The sequence below is a fragment of the Homo sapiens genome, chromosome 12 (assembly GCF_000001405.40).
Source record: "Homo sapiens chromosome 12, GRCh38.p14 Primary Assembly".
Classification (NCBI taxonomy): domain Eukaryota; kingdom Metazoa; phylum Chordata; class Mammalia; order Primates; family Hominidae; genus Homo; species Homo sapiens.
This window is the reverse complement of record NC_000012.12, coordinates 106,661,603-106,684,706: the sequence shown is the minus strand read 5'-3', so window position 1 is coordinate 106,684,706 and position 23,104 is coordinate 106,661,603. Positions and strand designations below refer to the sequence as shown.

The window sequence follows — 23,104 nt, the reverse complement described above, 5'->3', positions numbered from 1 at the left end:
GAACTCACTCTGTGGGTGGGGGAGGAGCATGGTTCCGGTGGCTTCAGGTGGGATGACAGTTATGACACACCACCGTAACCTTAAAAAGTTCACCTTTATAACTTCTTAAGAGCCAGATCATCTAATATGTTCAGACCAGACCACTTCTTGACTATTCAGAGATCACGTAGCTAAAATCAACAACCACAGTGAAGCTACTGCTCTGATCTTGAGTTCTTCTATTTCAGTTCTGTAGGGCACAACAACACATTCCTCACCAGCCACCCCCAGATTTATTTATTTATTTTTTAATTTCTTCTAAAAAAAGGCAGGGGATACATGTGCAGAATGTGCTTTTTTTTGAGACAGGTCTCGCTCTGTCACCCTGGCTGGAGTGCAGTGGTGCAATCGTGGCTCACTGAAACCTCTGCCTTTCAGCTTCAAGCAATTCTCCTGCCTCAGCCTCCTGAGTAGCTGGGACTAAAGGGACGTGCCACCATGCCCGGCTAATTTTTGTATTTTTTGTAGAGATGGGGTTTCACCATGTTGGCCAGGCTGATCTTGAACTCCTGACCTCAAGTGATCTACGGGCCTCAGCCTCCCAAAGTGCTGGGATTACAGGCGTGAGCCACTGCACCTGGCCCACCCCCCCAGATTTCTTCTGTCATTGTCAATTTGCCAAGGGAGTTTCTCTATAAGGCCATGATGCAGGTTGGAGACAAGAGCTTCTTACTGCCTTTCAACTGGTCGAAGGTGTGACCAACTTTGGAGTATCCTTATGGAAGAGGATACAATAAAATTGATTATACAGAATTTTTAAAGAGGGTATTTTGCCAACCTCGAGGTTAAAGAAAAAGAAAAACAAACAAAACAAAAACAGACTCTCCCATGTGGACAGAAGGAAATTTTCTCTGTTTATGCAGGATGGGAAACCTTTCTGCTCTCTCTTTACTGTGTGTCTTTACTATTTCTGCTCTTCTTAGAAATGAGCAACAAGCTATCGGAGCCACTGATTCCTCAAAGACCAAGAGCTGGAGAAAAATAATTTATTTTCATTTATTCCATATCGTTCTATCCATCCACTCTTCTGTTTGACCAACATTTTGAATTGCCTACTATGTGTTTACCAGCAAACAAGGAAGAACCTGGCTTTTGTAATCTATAATCGTACCAAGGCTGAAACCTTACTTTTAAACAAATACCAGAATTTTAAAATTATAACTGAGGTTTGTTTTTTTTTTTTTTTTTTTTTTTTTTTTTTCAGAATAGTCATCTTGGAAAATTATTAGGAATTTATTCCAAGAGGTCCTTTGTTCAACAGTCTTCTGGAAATTCCTTTAGAGACTGGTTCAAAAGCTTCTGAGCTACACCAAAAAAATTAGTCTCATTATTTTCAGAATACCAAAAAAGGGTTTTTCCCAGTTCGATCATCCATTTTCTTTCCCTACCTTGGCTCCAAAATCAAACCCACCCTTGGAGGATGGGAATGTGCTGCCCAGGGATGAGAGGAGCTGGTGAGGGACAGGGGTTTGGCCCAGGGTGAGAGCACTGGACATGCTTTTGACACATCCTTCAAGACAAGTCTTAAAAGTCCTATATGGTTGCCTTTCTAAAAAGTTACAGTGTTTTATAGGTCACTATGTGCTGACCTGCTCAACGTGGTCAAAATGCTTAGAAATGCTGCATAATAAGGCACCCTCTAGTGGAGTCACCTTGTACATTAGCATAATAAGGGTTCTGAGAAGTCTTGCAGTAAAGGAAACTGTTTAAACTTAGTGTTAACCAAACTTATAGGGCCTGCTGCTCTTCTTCATGGAACACCTATTATCGTCCAACAATTTTTGAAACATCCTTAGAGGCAAGTCCTATAAATGCAGATTTTAATGAAGGTCGAGCAGTACAGGAAGAGATTCCCTTCCCACTGACTCACACCTAGCAGACAAGTGTCTGCACAGCCTTCTGCACTCCCCTAGTCTTTACTTAAATGTAACCTCCTCTGAAAGACCTTCCCTGGCCATTCCTCTTTTGTTGCTCTCTGCTACAACTTTGTCACAATCTGATTCTCTGTTTTGTCTGTTTCCCACCGGAATCTATGCTCCATGAGGGCAGCAACTGATTTGCTCCTGTGTTCCCAGTACCTAGCACCACATATGTGACACACAGAAAGTATAAAGCATGAGTTGGTTGGTTGCTTGATGAAACTGATGAATGGGAAGCCGTGAACCCTCATGGACCATGGTGCAGCTGGACCTTTCTGCCCCATCTCCCATGCAGGGAATAGTACAGTTTTGCTTCTCTGGTCTACTGCATACTATCAGAGCAGAGTTTGCTCAGCAAAACAGTCCAGATAACCTGGTGATCCTCCAAGAGGCCACAAGGCAATCCTTTCAATGATGCCCAAGACTATTTTACAAAATATGCCTAAAAGCAGGGTGGTACAAAATCAGATTCCTTAAAGCAGCAGAGCCAACTCGTCTTGGGCTTTTGGACAACCTCTCTTTCAGGAGTCCTGAGAGAGGGGCCCTGGCCGTCATAAAGCTCTTCCATATTCCCTCTAGGCACAGACTTCTGCCAGGCCTGCAGACAGAGCTCAGGATAAAGAGCCAAGGGTGTGGCCTGTCTCGAGGCCCATAGATGTGCGCTCTGCAGGTGGAATGGCCGTCCGGTGCTTACTTTGACTGTCCTCGGGTCCCGAGTCTTCTGGTGGTTAACTGAGGAAACTGCTGCCTTATGATCTGTAAGTCAACACAAGAATCAGTTACCCATTGGGAAGAGTTGGGAGCATAGTGACTGAGTTTTACAAATAGCCATCTACAGAAGGGAGGAAAACATAGGTCCTTGGTTGCAATGACTTAATAGGAGTCTGTGAGGACCCTGGAGAAGACTACTGGTGTCAGAGTGGGGAGTGCTTGGATGGTTGTGGGGCTCTGGATACTAAGGGGGTCTCACTTGGCCACTCTATGCTTCACCCCGTCCTACTCACAAAGGAAGGAGAGTTCTGGTTGGTCCAGAACCTGCCTCTCCCCTGTTTAAAACCCTCCAGTGGCTTCCACAGCACCTGGAACTAAAACCCACACTTAGCCTCTGTAACTCGTCCTGCTTACCTTCTGGCCTTCCTCTCTTATAATTCTCACCTTTACTCACCAGATCCCAGCCACACTGGCTTTTTATTGTTTTCTCTATTACTGAAACACACCAGCGTTGCTCCCCATGGGGGGCCTTTGTACTGCACCCAGGAGTGGAATTTCACTCAGCTCTTCACAAGACTGCCTCCTCTTTAACCATTCAGGCGTCTGGACAATGTCCTTCTGCCCAGAGGCCTTCTCAGACCAGCCAGTGTGGAGTAGCACAAGGGTCACATGGCCCTGCTTTGTCTTCTTATCACTTAGCACTATCTGAAGTTATCTTGTTCACTTACTCTCTGGGTACTTAGTTTATGTCTCCTCCTGCTTGAACACACGCTCCATGAGAGCAAGGACCTCATACAGGGTTTGGCACATGCAAAGACCCCAATCCACATCTGTTGAATGAAGGAATGAAAGCCTAGGGGTATCTTTTTTCTGTCTGCAGAGCAGAGGATGATAATTGCTGTTGCCCAGGACAACCACACCAGTTCACAAGAAATCCGTGAAGAGAGAGCATCTCTCAAGGTGAAAACATAACCATGAGGCCCCTTTCCTTGGGGTTTACGGAGATGATGTTTGTGGAGAGGCATGACAGGTCAGGGGTTACGTGCAAGAACTCTGGAACTCGACTACCTGAATTGAATGCAAGCTCAGGCATTGGTTAGGCTGGATGCCCTTGGGCAAGTTATTTAGTATCCACATGACTCAGTTTCCCCATTTGTAAAATAGGAATGATAATAACCTCTAGAGTTATTGTGAAATTTTAAAAAGTGAATGTATGTAAATAGCTGGCAGTAGTGCCTGGCAGTTAGTAAGTACTTAATAAATGTTACCCATTATTACCACTGATTGTCCTGATGACCCTTTTACTTCCAGGGATTTTTTGAGTGTAACCAAGACTCCCTTCCCTCCTGGTACAGCACTGAGCAGGCATACATGGTCAGAGAGAGTAAGCCTTCATGAGAAAAGAAGCTGTTGCTGATTTCTTGTTGGTAGGGCATAAACCTTGAGTGCTTTCTCTAGGGATGGGGATGAATCTCTATTCATCTATTCACCCCTCTTTTATCCACACCACTACTCTCACTGATTGATTTACTCATTCACTCAACAAATATGGACTGTGACCTTGTTAGCTGTTTGAACTGGGACATACTGTTTAACCTCTCTGTGCCTGAATTTCCTCCTGTGGCATTTGAGGACTAAGGGGTTGTGTAGTCTTCCCCTAATTGGAGGGCTAGGTGTTGGTGATCTCAACTAAAATGGTATCAATGGGATGGACAGAAGTGCACAAATTAGTGAGAAATTGAGAACCTTGAAGACTGACCATTTCTCTACACTGGGGAGCTGACCACCTCCAGTGTGGAGAATGGATGCCGCAGCATTTCAGCATCAGAGAATCGTTGACAAAAAGATGCACCTCACAAGAATGTTTAGAGAATCTAATACGATAGCATCATGAAACCACTTTTGGAAGTAAAAAAGGCTTTTAAAATACCATCTCATGGTGATAATACTGAACAAAATGATGCAACAATTCTCTGAATTCTTTAAGGGTACCACTTTGTAGGCAATAAATCCCATCTCTTTAACCCTGACTCTTGTAAACTGAAGATCCAAGCTTTTCACTTTATGTCCTTCTCAAATTGTGGTGACCTGAGTAAAAGGCAGTGATTCAAGATGGGGTCAGTAACAGTGCTCTTTAAACACTTTGTCTAGCAGTGCAGCCTAAGACTGCATCCAGGTTTAGTGGCCTCATCACCTTGGATTTATATTAACCTGTGGCCAAGCCCTTCAGACTTTCAGCATATGAATGGCTTCAGAGCCAGGATTTGAAGCAGCTGTTCACAAAGGCACACTACTGAACAGACATAGACATGCTAATAGCGATAGAAAGAAAACAAGGGAAGCATAAAAATTGAGCCAGGGGATTTTTCACATTGGTTAAAAGTGGGTTCTAAGTTTCCTAACCACCCAAGCAAAGAAGATAATACAATAGAGTTCCAAGAGTCCCAGTATCAATATAAGTGCATACTAGTTGCTTAGAAAAAGCAGAAATTTTCCTATGTTTAGGTCTGGAAAATTTCTCCGATACAAATGGACACAACAGTAAAGTATTGTGGTTTTTGGTTTTTTTTTTTGTTTTTTTCTGAGACAGAGCCCCCACTCTGTTGCCCAGGCTGGAGTGCAGTGGCATGGCTCAGCTCACTGCAACCTCCACCTCCTGGGTTCAAGTGATTCTCCTGCCTCAGCCTACCAAGTAGCTGGGACTACAGGTGCACACCAACACGACTGGCTAATTGTATTTTTAGTAGAGACAGGGTTTCGCCATGTTGGCCAGGCTGGTCTCGAACTCCTGACCTCAAGTGATCCACCCACCTCAACCTCTCAAAGTGCTGGGATTACAGGTGTGAGCCACTGCACTTGGCCAGTAAGGCACCATGTTTAACCCTCTGTTATTCACAGACATTTTGGAAAGGTTAATATTCAGTGCTGTCAAGGCTGTAGTAAAACTGGAATACTCAGATGGCTGATGATATCATTTATTAGCACAACCCTTCCCCAGAGCGTTTTTAAAATACATAGGAAGCCATAAAGTACTTATATTTTTGATCTATTAATTCCAAGGAAATAATCTGAAATAAGGAAAAGCTAAATGTAAGTCTACTAATGAGAGTGAAAAATTTGAAACAGCATAAATGTCTAATGATAGGAAACTGTCTAAAAACATGATAGTATATATACACACGGTAGAAATTATGAAATAGCCATTAAAAATGATGGTAACAAAAACTATGTCACAACACAGAAAATGCTTATAATGTTAAATGAAATAGCAGATCTCAATCTGTGTTTATGTTATAGTTTTATAACAGAGAATTGTTTGTAAAAATATAGGAATAAACAGGTAATGTGGTAAAATGAAAATGGATATTCGTTAGGGCATTGGGATTGTGGGTAGAACAAAAAGGGTTTGTATATTTATGTACTAAATAAACTTTTTGTTTTTTGCAAATAGAAAAGGATTTCCTTATTGAAATAACTGAAAGTTCAAGATAATCTTGGAAGAAGCACCTAAAATCTACCAGAGTGTTATAGTGTTGTTATTTTTTTCTTTCTTTCCTTTTTTAAAAACATAAATCATTTCCTATTTTCTATAAACAATACGTAGATAATTGAAGAAAGCAGCATTGTTTTGTTTGGTTGCTAAGTCTTATGATTACTTGATTTAAGAGACTGGGCTAAGTTCTGAAATCTTTCTAAGTGTTTATCCAAATGGTATCCTACATAACATCTATAAAGCAACACAGGCCAAGCCCTTGATGCCTGGCCCTAGGTGAAGGTACCAGGGGTTGCCGACTGTGTTCTAGAGATGTGCCAGAAGGCCCCTGGGAAATGACTGGCCTTCTGGAGCCATTTGTTCTACCTCTGTGAGGCAATAACGTGTACAATCAGTGTGTTTGTGATTCTACGCACTGTGATCTTGAGGAATTATCAAGCCATAGCATGGGGCCTGGGAATTCACGGATCAATTTAATCTATGACTCCCTTCATTCCTGATGGTTTTTACTTATTCTTTTTGAATAATGTATAGATCAATACATGCAGTTTTAACATCTGTGTGACCAGCATCAATCTCCACTGAGTTACCTAAGACAGAACAGGAGAGTCCTCCCTGACTCCTCTCTTCCTAACACTGCACAACCCCAGGTCCTACTGGTTCTGCCTTCAGGATGTCTCCTGAACCTAGCCCCTTCTCTCTTTCTGCCCTTACCCCCACTACTGCACTAGTCCACTGTGATCTCTCACTGCCTGGACCACAGAAACATTCTTCTAACTGGTTTCCCTGCCACCAGTCTTGTTGCCTCACCAGTGGAATTTGTTTTTTTGATTTTTTTGAGACAGGGTCTCACTCTGTTGACCAGGCTGGAGTAGTGGTGCTATCCTAGCTCACTGCAGCCTTGAATTCCTGGGCTCAAGAGATCCTCCTGCCTCAGCCTCCAGAGAAGCTAGGACTGCAGGTACATGCACCACACCCGGCCTCAGCGGCAGGATCTTTCTAAAATGCCAATATGATCATTTCACTTCCTCATTGAAAATGCTGGATGTCTTCTTGCTGCCCACTCTGAATAAAAATCCAGGCTCCTCAGGATGGTCCATGAGGCCCTCTGTGATCGACTCCCACCCAGCTGCCCAGCCTGAAATCCAGCCACTCCCCAGAGCTCCAGGCTTATGTTGCTCCCACATCCACAGTGCTGTTCCCTGTGCCTGGAATGCCAAGGCCACACTGTTTCCACTCACCCCAAGGAACTCCTAGCTTTCTCCAAGCCTCTCCCACTTGCCCTGTGACCCTTCCCATGCAGCCTTAGCTGCCTCCTTTCTCTGTTTTCCTAGTGAATTGGGAAACAGTGGTATACAGTGATTAGGCACACAGGCTTTGGAGTCAGGCTCACCCGGGTTCCAGTCCTGGCTCAGGCACTGTGCTAACCACTTTACATGTATTATCTCAGTTAATCATCACAACAATCCAGCGCCAGGTTCCACTGATATTCCCTCAGTATAGATGAGTAAAGTGAGGTTTAGAGAGGCTAAGCAACCTGCACAAAGCCACACAGCTCAGATGCAGACCTGCGATTTGAATGCATCCAGTCCAACTTAACACTCTACCACCGCAATGTTACTGCTTCTAGACGAATGAGAATGTCTCGAAGCCTCTCATTCCTTCCTTTAACAGTAACCTTTATTTCTTTTATGTCATATTCCTACATTTACACATTGGGTGTGTTTGAGGAATGAAATGATTTCTCGTTCTCATCAACTCTTCAGTGAAGATTTCTCTTCTATTCTCCTCACATTGACCCTCTTGGAGATGTTCTGGTGGCCTCTGCTATGAACAGGATCTGAGGGCCCTGCACCCAATAGGCTAGGGAAGGTGAGAAGCAGCTGAGGGGATGGTGTCATCAGCAGACAGCCCCGTGTCTCCTCCTGGATGAAATTTCCCTGCACCCACTCAAGTGATCATCTGGCAGTGAAATGCTCCTGCTTAATAAAATGCTAATCAAAAATCATTATTTGCATAATTGAGGTCCCCAAGTAGGTTTACTGAAGGAATGATGCAGATCATTACCTGTCTACCTAGAGGCCTCTGGCAATTCTCCACGGTCACCTGACTTAGCAGAGGTTCTTTTGATTGAAACTCAGACACCACTCTTTGCTTCCATCTTTTCTCTAAATTTCCTTCCATGAACTCGAGGTTCTGTCCAAGTCAGACTACTTGGTGTTGCACTATTCCCTGAATGCTTCCCAGGTCCATACCTCTGCACCTTCTACCTTAAACTCTCTCTCCCTCCTCACTACCTGTGCCCTCAGAGCCCATCCAGCCACGCAGCATGCACTCTGCTGCTCTGTGAGCCTTTCCCCATTACCTGACCACACCAGAGCTCGCCTTTCCCAAACCATGATTGCCTTGTATGTGCCACTTCCAACCTGTGACCAAGTTCTACCCTCTATCTTCATATTCCTGATTCTACCCATATCCTCCCATCTCTACGCATCCCAGGACCATGGTTTTGCACCTGGAGTGCTGCCATAGTCTCATTGGCCCTGCTTCCCGTCATGCCCCATCACGACCACTTTTCCATGAAGCCTCTAGACAGAACCCAGACCCACCAGGTCCTGCCTAATTGGCCCTGCCTTTGTTCCAGCTTACCTCTCCCCGTCCTCTCCCAATTCCTGTGCTCCGGCCATACGGAATGGAACTTCTTCCAAGTTTCATGAACACACTGTGTTCTGTCTTACTCTGGCCCTTCCCACAGGATGTTCTCATTGTCCAGAGCCCTCTCTTCACACCCTTTTTCTGCCTAATGTCTACTCATCCTCACATCTCAGCTTGTACCTTATTTCCTCCTAGAAACTTTCCCTGGGCCACTTGTTGGGTGACCGTAGTTATGTGATCCATAGAATCTTTTTTTAAAATTAAAGTTGACAAATAAAATTGTGTATATTTATGGTGTACAATATGATGTTCTGAAATATGTATACATTGTGGAATGGCTAAATTGAGTTAATTAACATATTCATTACCTCCCATACTTGTTATTTTTTTGTGGTGAGAACACTTAAAATGTACCCTCTTAGCAATTTTCTTTTCTTCTTGTTTCTTTTTTCTTCTTTTTGAGACAGAGTCTCACTCGTCACCCAGGCTGGAGTGCAGTGGCACCATCTCAGCTCACTGAAACCTCTGCCTCCTGGGTTCAAGTGATTCTTGTGCCTCAGCCTCCTGAGTAGCTGCGATTACAGGCATACACCACCATGCCCAGCTAATTTTTGTACTTTTAGTAGAGATGGGGTTTTGCCATGTTGGCCAGGCTGGTCTCAAGCTCCTGGCCTCAAGTGATCCACCCACCTCTGCCTCCCAAAGTGCTGGGATTACAGGCCAGAACTACGGTGCCTGGCCAGTAATTTTCAAGAATACGTTGTTATTAACTATAGTTACCATGCTGTGCAATAGATCTCTTGAACTTGTTCTTCCTGCCTAATTGAAAGTTTGTATTCTTTGACCAAATTTCTCCAACTCCGCCACTCCCATAGAATCTTTATAAATAATCAGTGTTCTGCTTAGCTCTATAAAGTCCTGACCTAGGCCTGTAAGACTCCACACAAACTGGATCTCCAGCCTCATTTTCCCCATGTTCAACAAGCTGCAGCCTCAATAACCATAATAGGTTGGCTAATGGTACAAAGCAGGGATTCATTCACCAGCAGATATCCACTGAGCTCATGCTACAGGCCGGACATTTTGCTAGGCACTGAGAAACACACTGAGCAAAACAGAAACAGCCTCTGTTCAAGAAGCTTACATTCTAGTGTGAGAAGACCAAAAATAAATGAAAAAGTCAATGTATCTTCTATCAGGTAAGTGCTCCAGAGGGGAACACAAAAGTAGGGTGAGGGGAATAAAGAAAATGGAGGTGGGGGCCAGGCACGGTGGTTCATGCCTATAATCCCAACACTTTGGGAGGGTGAGGCAGGCAGATCACTAAGGTCAGGAGTTCAAGACCAGCCTGGACAACATGGTGAAACCCCGTCTCTACTAAAAATACGCAAATTAGTTTGGCGTGGTGGTGCATGCCTGTAATCCCAGCTACTTAGGAGGCTGAGGCAGGAGAATTGCTTGAACCCAGGAGGCAGAGGTTGCAGTGAGCCGAGATCACACCGCTGCACTCCAGCCTGGGTGACAGAGCAAGACTCTGTCTTGGAAAAAAAAAAAAGAAAGAAAATGGAGGTGGGGATGTTATTTTGTTTAGGGTGATTAGGACTCTGTGATGATGTGGCATCCGAGTAGTGACCTAAAGGAAGTGAGAGAATGAACTTTGTGGATATCTGGGGGAAGGAAACTGCAAGAAGGAATAGCCCATGGGAAGGACCTGGGTGGGAGCTTGTCTCATTCGTTTCAGGAAGAATGAGGAGGCCCATGTGGCTGGAGCAGAGCCAGTGGGCGAGGGAGTGGCAGGAGGAGAGGTCTGGGGGCTGGAGGGGTTCACAGGGCCTTGCAGGCCTTTGTAAGCTGTCTGCTTTTACTCTTAGTGAGATGGGAAGACTTCAGAGGGCTTTAAGGAGGGGAGTGGGGAACAAAACCTGACTTACCATGCAAAAGGGTCACCCTGGCTGCTGTGTGGAGAACTGACTTAGGGGCAAGGATGGAAGCAGGGAAACCAGTTGGAAGGCTACTGCAGTAGTCCAGGTGGGAGAGAAGGTGGCTCAGTGCATTAATTCATTGACTCATTGAATGAAAGAATGAAAGAATCATTCCTCTTTGATTGGCCATTGAAGTTGTCTCCAGCATTGTGTTAATGCAAATAATGCTATAAGCAATATCTTTTTGTGGCATGATTTTTGTTTTTTATTGTGGATACTTTGTTTTGGGATTTCCTCCTCGTGATAGTTTCTCAAAGGTGGAGCTGCTTTATCCAAGGGGAGACACATTTCAATGTTCTTAAAACACACTTTTATAAAGTATAGGACAGCATTAACACTTTATAAAAATGTGCTAAATTGAAAAGTCACAAAAGACCTTTTGCTCTTTCTTCCATTTGAGCATCAAGTTCTTCATCTATAAAGTGGGGATCATAACACTCGCTCAGCTTATCTCACAGGCTCGTAGCAGGATCAGAGAGGCTAGAGACTGGGTACCCAGGCTTGCCTCCTGGGACTTCACCAGCCGGAAGTGGGACAAGAGTGCAGGGCAAGAGCTCAACCTCAACAGGCTTTCACAGCCCGCTGGCTGGAGGGGAGCCAGGAGTGACCAGCTGCCAGGGAGGAGCCGGAGCAGGGGGTCCATATCTATTAACACTCCTCTCTGCCTCTCTAGTGACTCGTCCTCTAGTTATCATTATTTTCTAGCCCTTTCTCTTCACTGACGGAGTTAGCCCTCTATACTTCCATCCTTCATGGATTTGCAGACGCTCCTCATTCAATCTAGTTTTTGGGCTTTTGTGGTATATTATGCTTTCCCAAGGAACATATTAGTGTGGTTGGAATATTTAGTTCTGTTTGTGAAAATTCTTTTACCTAAAAGTATCTAATGGCCAAATCTTCTCCTCCTCCTCCGAAGAGAGAAAAAGGCAATCTCAAGTAAAGAAATCAGAGGAAAGGGAGTTTGCTGTGAGTAGGGGATGGGGGATGGGTGGAAGCGCTGCTGTATCACATCACATTCTGCCCAAATGCAGGTCAAGACTTTTCCCACTCTGAGCAAAGAAAGGGCTGCTGCAGATAGCACCTCCTCCTTGCAGCTGCAACAAAAACCTGTGGGAAGGGGGTTTGGCTTTTTTTTTTTTTTTTTAAGTGTTTCTTATGGGCTGCAAATTACAAATTATTCTCCTCTCCTTTCACCAAATAATCAACTGGTCCCTGAATCTGAAAGCCCAGCACAATTTAGTTCGAGTCTCAAAATGCAGGGTCGGTTCAGCCCCGCTCAGGCTGCTCAGCTTTTAATTTCTGGAGCAAGACTCAGCAAACAGTAAAACACTTTTGTGGAGCTGTGAAAGTTGAGCTTCGCTGTTTGATAAATGAGCAGACAGGCAGGCAGCCCCTCTTTCTTTTTTTGTATGGATTCAATGAAGCCTGCCTAAAGAACACCACATGCTGTTCTAGCTACTGATCTAACATTCCGCAACATCCCAGCCTTCCAAATTCCCTTTAATTACTCATGAATCCCACCCTTCTCTCTTTCAGCCTGGGCAGACAGAGCTGGGGGCTCCGCAGGGATAGGGGTGGGAAGCAGAGAAGCTCTGGAGAACTACTCTCTCTGGAGCTGTTGGAATTCTTCTTTAGGTGGTGGTGGCCATGTCACTCATCTCCCCTGTCCGTTCTCCTCCCCATACACCACACTCCAGTTGAAGGTAGCCCAGCATGCAGGATACCCTTACATCATTTTGTGGGTGCAATTTTTTTTTAAAGAAACATGAGTTTTAAGCAAGAATTTCCGAGATGGCATGTTCAAACAATTGCCCTCCTAATTTAAGATGAGGAAAGGAAAGAGTGAAAAGAGGAACTGTCAGCCACTGAGCATCACTAAGCACCATGCCCTAAATGAGGTGGTTTTATACTCGGTAGTACATTTTGTCTTAGAAAACAACACTGGAGGCCGGGTGTGGTGGCTCATGCCTGTAATCCTAGCACTTTGGGAGGCCGAGGTGGGCGGATTGCCTGAGCTTAGGAGTTTGAGACAAGCCTGGGCAACACAGTGAAACCCTGTCTCTACTAAAATACAAAAAACTAGTCAGGCGTGGTGGCGTGCACCTGTAGTCCCAGCTACTCAGGAGGCTGAGGCAGGAGAATCACTTGAACCTGAGAGGCGGAAGTTGCAGTGAGCCAAGATCATGCCACTGCACTCCAGCCTGGGTGACAGAGCGAGACTCCATCTCCAAACAAAAGAAAGAAAAGAAAAGAAAGAAGGAAAACAACACTGGAAGAGAGTATGATGATCTCACTTTACAAATGAGGAACTGGGATCTAGGGTGATTCAAGGCTGTCTCCATTCACAGTCTCTGGCCAGTGGAAGAAACAGGAATCTGATTCTTCTACCTGTCATCTTCTTTACTGTGGCTGACACATGCCCACACATGCCAGAGCCAGCACGGTGTCCTCTCATTGTGAATGACACCCCCTGCCCCACTGCCTCTCTTGGTGTTGCCTCAAGAGACACCCCCAGAGCCACCCAGGAAGGCCATTCAGTCTCATCACTCTACATAATACAGCCTTCAATTTTGACCCCAAATAATATGATCTTGATCAGTTTGATCTCCAATCTTAGTCATCGGGCGTTTGTTTCCAAAAATTCCACCCACCCTCAGTAGGTAAAGATTTGCCATCAACAAGAAGTGATCTAAAATAAATTCTAATGCAATGGAATCAGTAGATGTCCTTCCACACACTGAAGGAGATAAACTCATGTAGAATAAAGTATGCTGAACATAGTTTAAAAATGAGAGTTGTGGGTCTTACTTCAGGGGTCATTTTAGGTGTGGGTAAAGAAGGGCTTTTCAAGAAGCAAGAAATTAGAAATTTAATACAATGACAAGTTCCTGTTTTATAACCATATATTGTGGAAATCTTGTGGCATATTTTTAAAAACACACATAAGAAACAATGCTTTGAACAAGAGAGAGAAATGATTAGGGAAAGAAGTTGGTTAAAGGGAACTAATTGTCACAAATTTAACTCTGAAAGCAGGATATTCACTTTCTTTCTTTTGACAATAAACCTAGTCTATTTTTCAGAAAAGAAAAAATAATTAAAGCTGGTGATATGAATGGGGACTGTAAAACATCCTATCTCAATGCTTCCATCTTAAAATGAGTGTTTGCTGGGGTCATTTTACTATACTGATGTAACTCTTACCTACTCAACAATTTTTATGACACTTCCTGGGTGCCAGGAACTGGGGAATGAAAGGGTTAGAGAATGCTACAGGTGTCACAGGAAATTCCCTAAGAGAAATTGCAAAATTTCTACAAGAAATTCATACTGAGGGCAATGAGACAGAAGTGGAATTTCAAATCATGCCTATGGATTGATGAAGAATTCTTTGAAAAGCCCCAGGGCTGAAAAGGTAACAGTGAATCTGTTGCCCCTTGAGGGGTACCACGGATGGCAATAACAAGAATGCCAAAAATCCATATGTGAACACCTCATTGTCCTCAGGGTGACTGGATAATGTGTCACGTGTACATGAGAGAAGGCAGTCATCACACACTGATTTAGCTAGAATGAGGTGAGTTACATAAGATACAGGTTAAGTCAAAAATGGAATAATTCTGAAGATGATAATAAGAGAGGGCGAGGGTGGTGATGGCAGCATGTGTGTGATGTAGGACATTTTTAGAACAATTGTTCTCAAAATTGTTCAGAAAGAAGAGCACCTAGAAAGGCTGGAACACTGATATGTTAGTGATCATGAAATATTGCTATAATAAACTGAAGTCATAACTAACAAGCATTGAGTGTTTATAATTACAGGCTCTGTGCTAAGTAGCCCTTTTACAGTCATTATCGCAACAGTTCTCCAGGTGATTGATTGCTATCAATATTCCATTTTACAGATGAGGAAACTGAGGCTGAGGGCTGTTAGGAAATTATCTGAGCTCACACAGCTGCTAAGTGGTACAACCAGGATTCAAATTCAAACCCAAAGAGTTTGACCCCCCAGAGTTTTACATGGCACTACACACACACACACACACACACACACACACACACACACACCCCTAGAAAAAACCTGGTGTGAAATCAGACATTCTGTCATGGATGCCCCACAGCAGATTCAAAAATATTAAGAAAAATATATACAAGAATTAAAAGTAGAAGGAAAGTCTGTCTATGTACGTATTTTTTTTTCCTTTGAGAACTGGAAAAAGACCATCTTTGAAGGATCCTAAAGATGCCTCAAGAGTGCCCTCATCTTCTGCTGTGTCAGTTCAGGGGTGTGCAAGTGACCCCACGTCAGGATGGGAGGAGGGTGGGCAGACTGGTGGGACTAGAAGAAGAGGGCCACCGTGTAAATGAGGAAGTCTCTGTTCTCTCCAATGCAGGTAAGTGCAGCTGATGAAGCACAGGTCCCCAGAACACACTTGGCTTTTTTCCCCATTGCCCAAGGATGGTCAGCGAGGAGAAAGGAGCCAAATCTTCAAGGATGAGCCACCCACAACCCAAACTGCCAATTACCCATGTCCTCACTGAAAAAATGCAGGATATAAATAAATTTAATTCATACAAGCACATCTGTCACCTCAGCTTCCCTTTCTCCAGTCTCTCTACCTCTTACTGGTGTCTCTTCCACACTCTCAGCCCCACCACTGGATCCAGTGTGGGGGAGGGGGAGACCTGCCACCAAATGTAGGAACTGGGGAAAACCACTCAGTCCCTCTGAGCTTTAATTTCCACATCTGGAAAGTGAAGGGATTGCATCAACTGATCTCTGAGTCTCCTTAATAGATTAAACTCATACATACTGAAGTGTTAGTAAGTGATAAGTATTAATGAATGATCTTATCCTGTTCTAGTTGCATTTTTACAGACTTAAATAAGTGGGATTGAGGAATTTAAGACATCATTAAGCCTTTATTTCAGAAGGTATATTTTTGAGGCCAAATGGCCTCTCCACATATTCAAATTACACTATATCACAACTATCTAGTGCCTATCCATAAGCCAGCCTTTTCCTGAAAAGTTCAGCAAATTGCTGACCATGAATCATGTCACCCTCCACAGTCTTAAGTGATCACATTGTACCACCCATGTTACTTCCCATGAGCTCATAATTTGAGAGAATAACCTATACTCTTCCAGGATCCTGAGTTCCATTTCATAGTTGTAGCATATACAAGGATGCATGGATGTGTGAAACACCCTTATGTGGATAAAATGGCTAGTTGCCTACTCCTTCCCCACTAAACCCTAATTATTTTTTCTTTTTTCCCCTTCATCCTTAGTCCAAGGTAAATAAATCCTAATTATTATTTAAGTTTAAAAAATTTTTTTAAGAGGGGCTCTCGCTGTGTTGCCCAGGCTGGACTCGAACTCAGGAGCTCAAGTGATCCTCTCACCTCAGCCTCGTGCCTGAGTAGCTGGGACTATGAGCCTGCACCATTGCACCTGGCTCAAACCGTAGTTTTTATTCCAGGATAGAGTGGACCACATTTTCTTGCCTCCCTGATAGCCAAAGGCAGCCAATGAGATGTAAGGGAAAATCACTGGGCTGAGCTCTGGGAAAGAGTCTAAAGAGGGCTGACTGAACTGGGAGCTTTGACCTTTCTTCCCTTACCCCATTTTTTTCTACTTCTTTCCTGGAAGATAGTTTTTGGAGTCTAGCAGTCATTTTGGACCATGAGGTGATATAGAAACTGGAAGCCATCTGCTAGAAAGGGCAGAGCACAAAGACAGAAAGAAACTGGGTCTCTGATGCTTTTAAGGAGCTGCCCAACTGCAGCTGGGTTACCTTCCTCTAGACTTAGTTTATGTGAGAAAAGTAAGACCACTAATTTATTTAAGCCACTATTGAGGCATGGGGGGGACATCTTTCCCCACAGCCCCAATTTTTGTAATAACTCAGAGACCTTCTGGTTTCCACCTAGGATCGACTTTATAGAGAATGCTCCAGTGTTTTGCTCCTTTGCATTGATCAGAAATCCGATATTGACAACACAGGCCCTGGAGACAACTACCTCATCTTTAAATGGGAATAAAAACAGCATTTTGACTTCCAGTTTCTGGTTTTCTGTATATAAGAAGCTTTGAAGTCACCACTCCATCCTAACAAGTAAAAAGCAAAACAAACTGAAAAATCAACAATTCTTCTTGGGTTCTTAAGAGAGGGGAGGACACAGAGCAAACTGCTGCCCTCAAGATTGGAGAGACGGGTAAATACAGGGAATCGTGGCTCCCTGGAGCAGAGACTCAGGAGTGGGAACTGCCTCAGGACCCAGTACTGTGGTAGGAACACCTGAATTGTAATTGACAAGTTGTGAAGGCTTAATGCAGACAAGGCTGAGAGTTAAAAAATAACTCTAGGGAGACCCAATCATAGGGGAACCCACACAATATTGAGAGATGTACCTCTAGGAGCTTGACCAGGTTCCCACAGTAAATATCAGAGCAAAAGTCCCTCACGCTTCCGGCAGGGGAAGGAGTAAAGGAACCATTTTGAAATACGCTGGAGCACTCTGTTCTTCTTAACAAGGCCTGCTTTCAGGAGAAGCTAGTTAACCAGAGCCTAATCTGCTGGGGTATTATCAGAGCCTAACTGACTTGGGAGAAGGGAAATACCCAACTCCAGTCAGCTCTAGCCTTCCATGCGGAGAAGGGAAATAACCCAACACCAGTCCCCTCTAACCTTCCATGTGAAAGAAGGGAAATATCCAATTCTAGCCAACTTTAGCCATCCTATGACATCTAAGAGGGGAGGGAAAAAATGGAGAAACACTTGTAGTAAAGTTCACAGTCCAGAGGCATAGGCTTACTAAAGGATTGAGACCTAATCACAGGACAATAGATTGCTTCCCCCACCAACAACACGCCTTACCACCATATGACTAAAGGTGATTTACAGCAATTCCTTTTTTACCTGGCATATCATGTTCGGCCACCAAGAAAGAATTACAAGGCATGCTAAAACACAATTTAAAGAAACAGCAAGGCTCAGAACCAGACAAGGCAAGGATGTCAGAATTATCAGACCAGGAATTTAAAACAACTGTGATCAATTTGCTAAGGGTTCTAATTGATAGATTAGACAGCCTGCAAGAACAGATGGACCATGTGAGCAGAGAGATAGAAATCCTAAGAAAGAACCAAAAAGAAATGCTAAAGATCAAAAACACTGTAACAGAAATTAAGAGTGACTTTGATGGATTTGCAGGTGACTAGACACAGCTGAAGACTCTCTGAGCTTGTGTAGATATCAACAGAAACTTCAAAAACTAAAAAGCGAAGAGAACAAAGACTGAAAAACCGAACAGAACATCCAAGGACTAGGGGGCAATTACAAAAGATGTAAATACACATAATAAGAATATCAGAAAGAGAAAAAAAGAGAGAAAAGAAGCAAAGAAATATGTGAAACAAAAATGACTGAGAATTTCCTCAAATTAATGTCAGACACCAAATCACAGATTCAGAAAGCTAAGAGAACACCAAGCAGGATAAATGTCAAATAAACAACAAAAAGCCAAACCACAGGAAAACAACATCAAGGTATATCATTTTCAAACTATAGAAAATCAAAGATAACGAAAAACATCCTGAAAAAAGCCAGAGAGAAAAACAACCCATGTTACCTATATAGGACAAAGACAAGACTATCTTCTGACTTCTGCTTGGAAATCATGTAAACAAGAAGAGAGTGAAATGAAATATTTAAAGTATTGAGAGGAAAAAACCTACCAACCTAAGTTTCTGTACACTAGAAATTATCCTTCAAAACTGAAGTAGTAGTAGAGACTATCTCAGACAAACAAAAATTAAGGGAATTTGTTTTCAGTAAACCTGACTTGCAAGAAATGTTAAAAGAAATTCTTTAGGGAGAAGGAAATTGATATAGGTCAGAAACTCAGATTTACACAAAGAAAGGAAGAGGACTGAAGAAGGAATAAGTGAAGTAAAATAAAAACTTATTTTTCTTGTTTTTTAATTGATCTAACAGATGACAGTTTATTCAAAATAATAATGGCAACAAAGTACTTGATTATATGTGTATATCAATTAAAACACATACATAAGTATGTGTGCATGTTTTTTTTTACAGAGGGCACAAAAGTTATGATTTTCTCATTATAAGGTGCTCGCCCTTCTTGTGAAGTGGCATAGCATTATTTAAAAGTGGGCTTGAATTAGTTGTAAATATATATTGCAAATTATAGGAAGGCCATTTAAAAGGTTTTTTTATGTTAAAGTATAACATATGCTAATAAAGGAGAAAAAATGGAATGATATGAAATGCTCAATTAAAACTGCAAAGGGCAGCAGAAGAGTGGAAGACAAAAATCGTAACAAATAACAAGGGCAACAAATAGAAAACAGTAACAAATATGGTAAATATTATCCAATTTTATCAATAATTACTTCGAAGATCATGGTCTAAATGCATCAATTAAAAGACAAAGATTGCCTAAGCAGTTCAAAAAACAAGATCCAACTATATGTTGTCTATAAGAAACCCACTTTAAATATAAAGATCCATGTAGATTAAAAGTAAATGGATGGAGAAAAATATACTATGATAATACTAATCAAAAGAAACAGGAATAACTATATTAATTTCATATGGAGCATACTTCAAAGCAAAGAAAGTTATCAAGGATAAAGAAGGGCATTATATAATTATAAAGGTATCAATCTCCAAGAAGACACAATGATTCTTAATATACATGTGCCTAACAAGACAGCATCAAACTATATAAGGCCAAAACTAATAGAACTGCAAGGAAAAATTGATGAATCCAGTATCACTGTTGGAAACTTCAATACCCCTCTATCAGAAATGGAAATCAGTAAGGCAGAAGATCAGTAAGGACATGAATCAATTAAATATAATTGACATTAATAGACAACTTCATCCAAAAATAGCAGAATATATATTCTCAAACTTATATGGCACATTCATCAAGATAGATCACATTCTGGGTCATAAAACAAAAATCATATAATGTCTGCTCTCAGGCCACAGTAGAATTAAGCTATCATTCAATAACAGAAAGATAACTAGAAAATCCTTGAATGTGTGGAAATAAAACAACAATTCTACATAACTCATGGAGCAAAGAAGAAATCTCAGAGAAATAAAAATATTTGAACCAAATGAAAATGAAAATGCAACATTAAAATTTGTGAGATGAAATGAAAGCAGTGAGTAGAGGAAAATTTATCACACTGAATGCATATATTGGAAAAGATATAAAATCAATAATCTAAGTTTCCACCTTAGGAAACTGGAAAAAGAAGAGTGAATTTAATCTGAAGTAAGAAGAAGATACAATAAGAATTAGAGCAGAAGTCAATGAAATTGAAAACAGGAAATCAATAAAGAAAATCAATAAAATCAAAAGCCAGTCCTTTGAAAAGATCACTAAAATTGATAGGCCTCTAGCAAGCATAACAAAGAAAAAAGAGAGCAGACCCAAATTAGTAATATTAGTATTGAAGGAGGAGACACCACTACAGATCTTATAGACATTATAAGGATAATAAAGGAATACTATAAATAACTCTATGCCCACAGATTCGATAATCTAGATGAAATGGACTAGTTTCTTGAAAGATTTGATTTGCCAAAACTCACACAGAAAGAAACAGACAGAATAGGTCTATATCTATTAAGTATATTGAATCAATAATTAATAATCTTCCAAAACAGAAAGCACCAGGTTCAGATGGGTGCACTGGTAAATTCTACCAAACATTTATAGAAGAAATTTTGTCAATTCTTTACAATCTCTTTCAGAGGACAGAAGCAGAGGGACTACTTCCTAACTCTTTCTATGAAGTCAGCTGTTACCTAGTACCAAAATCAGATAAAAGGCATTAAAAAAAGTTACACACCAATTTCCCATAAACATAGATGCAAAAATTCTTAACAGAATATTTGCAAATTGAATCCAATGATGTATAAAAGTAATTATACACCATAACCAAGTGGGATTTATCCCAGATATACAAGGCTGGTTTGACATTCAAAAATCAATTAATGTAATCTATCACATCAACAAGCTAAAAAATTATATGATCATATCAACAGATGCACAAAAAGTATTTGGCAAATTGAAACACCCACTCACGATTTGAAAAAAAAAAAACGCTTTCTGCAAACTAGGAATAAAGGGTAATTTCTTCAATTTGATAAAGAATATCTACAAAAAACCTACAGCTAACATTATACTTAATGATAAGAAACTCAAAGTTTTCCCACTATGATGAGGACCAAGCCAAGGATGTCTCACCACTCCTCTCACCACTCCTTTTCAACATCATACTGCATTAGCCAATGCAATAAGACAAGAAAAGGAAATAAAATGCATGTAGATTGAGAAGGCAGAAATAAAACTCTTTGTTCAAAGATGACATAATTGTCCAAGTAGAAAATCCAAAAGATTCTACAAAAGAAAAAAAAATCTCCTGGAACTAATAAGCAAGGTTGCAAGATACAAGGCTAATATACAGAAGTCAATCACTTTCCTATATACCAGTAATAAACAAGTGGTATTTGACGTTGAAAACACAATACTATTTATGTTAGCATCCCCTCAAAATGACATACTTATGTAGAAATCTAACAAGCTATGTATAAGAGCTACACGAGGAAAACCACAAAATTCTGATGAACTAAATCAAAGAAGAACTAGATAAAAATAGAGATTCCATAATCATGGATAGGAAGATGCAATATTGCCAATATGTCAGTTATTCCCATCTTGATCAACAGATTCAATACAATCTCAATCAGAATCCCAGCAAGTTATTTTCTGGCAATCAATAAATTGATTCTAATGTTTCTATGGAAAGGCTAAAGACCCAGAATAGTCAGCCTGATATTGAAGAAGAACAAAATTGGTGGATTGATTCCACCCATATTCAAGATGTACAATAAAGCTACTGTAATCAAGACAGTATGGTATTGGGAAAAGAATAGACAAATAGAACAACAAAACACAATAGACAGTCCAGAAACAGACCCACATAAATATAGTCAACTGACCTTTGACAAAGGATCAAAGGCAATAAATGAAGTAAAGATAATCTTTTAAACAAAATGGTGCTGGAACAACTGAATATACACATGCAAAAAAAGTGAATCTAGATACAGACCTTATACCCATCACAAAAATTAACTCAAAATGGATCATAGATCTAAGTAAAACACAAAACTGTAAAACACCTAGAAGACAACATAGAAGGAAACTTAGATGACCTTGGGTATGATGATGACTTTTTAGATAAAACACCAAAGGCACAATCCGTGAAAGAGATAATTGATAAGCTGGATTTCATTAAAATTAAAATTTTATGCTCTGTGAAAGACAATGTCAAGAGAATGAGAAGATAAGCCACAGGCTGGGAGAAAATATTTGCAAGAGACACATCTAATAAAGGATTGTTGCTCAAAAGATACAAATAACTCTTTAAAAACAATAAGAAAACAAACAACCCAATTAAAAGATGGACCAAAGACCTTACTTAACAAACACCTCACCAAAGAGATATACAGATGGCAAATAAGCATATGAAAAGATGCTCCACATCACATGTTATCAGGGAAATGCAAATTAAAACAACGACATACCACTACATACCTATTAGAATGGCCAAAACCTGGAACACTGACAACACCAAATGCTGGTGAGGATGTAGAGCAACAGGAACTCTCATTTATTGCTGTGGGAATGCAAAATGGTACAGCCACTTTGGAAGACAGTTTGGCAGTTTATTACAAAACTAAATAAACTCTTACCATACAATCTAGCAATTGCCCTTCTTGGTATTTACCCAAAGGAGTTGAAAACTTATGTCCATACAAAAACCTGCACATGCATATTTATAGCAGCTGTATTCATAATTGCCAAAATGGGAAGAAACCAAAATATCCTTCAGTAAGTAGGTGGATAAATAAACCATGGTACCTCCAGACAATGAAATATTATTCAGCACTAAAAAGAAATGTGCTGTCAAGCCACAAAAGACATGGAGGAAACCTAAATGCATATTATGAATGGAAAGAGGCCAATCTGAAAAGGCTACATACTGTACGATTCCAGCTATATGACATTCTGGAGAAGGCAAAACTAGAGACTGTAAAAAGATCAGTAGTTACCAGGGGTTAGGGGACAGGGAGAGAGGACTAGGCAGAGAACAGGGGATTTTTAGGGCAGTGAAAATACTCTGCATGATACCAAAACAATGGATACATGTTATTATACATTTGTCCAAACTCACAGTATGTGAGTGAATTCACC

The 23,104-nt window shown here is 41.3% G+C and overlaps 1 protein-coding gene and 2 long non-coding RNA genes across 4 annotated transcripts in view; 2 read left to right on the top strand and 1 right to left on the bottom strand.

The window, feature by feature from the left end:
- The window catches only part of LOC100287944 (uncharacterized), a 278,422-nt gene that overhangs the window by 90,125 nt on the left and 165,193 nt on the right, over window positions 1–23,104 (top strand). The gene's annotated exons all lie outside the window — the stretch shown is intronic.
- The window catches only part of RFX4 (regulatory factor X4), a 179,800-nt gene that overhangs the window by 78,097 nt on the left and 78,599 nt on the right, over window positions 1–23,104 (bottom strand). For both annotated transcript variants that reach the window (NM_213594.3, NM_001206691.2), the window contains exon 5: window positions 2,653–2,714. In NM_213594.3, the coding sequence (NP_998759.1) occupies window positions 2,653–2,714 (62 nt within the window). The remainder of the gene's footprint in view (window positions 1–2,652; window positions 2,715–23,104) is intronic.
- Window positions 7–3,949, top strand: LOC100505978 (uncharacterized). The gene is made up of 4 exons (NR_038912.1): window positions 7–47; window positions 963–1,205; window positions 2,538–2,716; window positions 3,550–3,949. It is a non-coding gene; the product is annotated as an uncharacterized LOC100505978 (long non-coding RNA).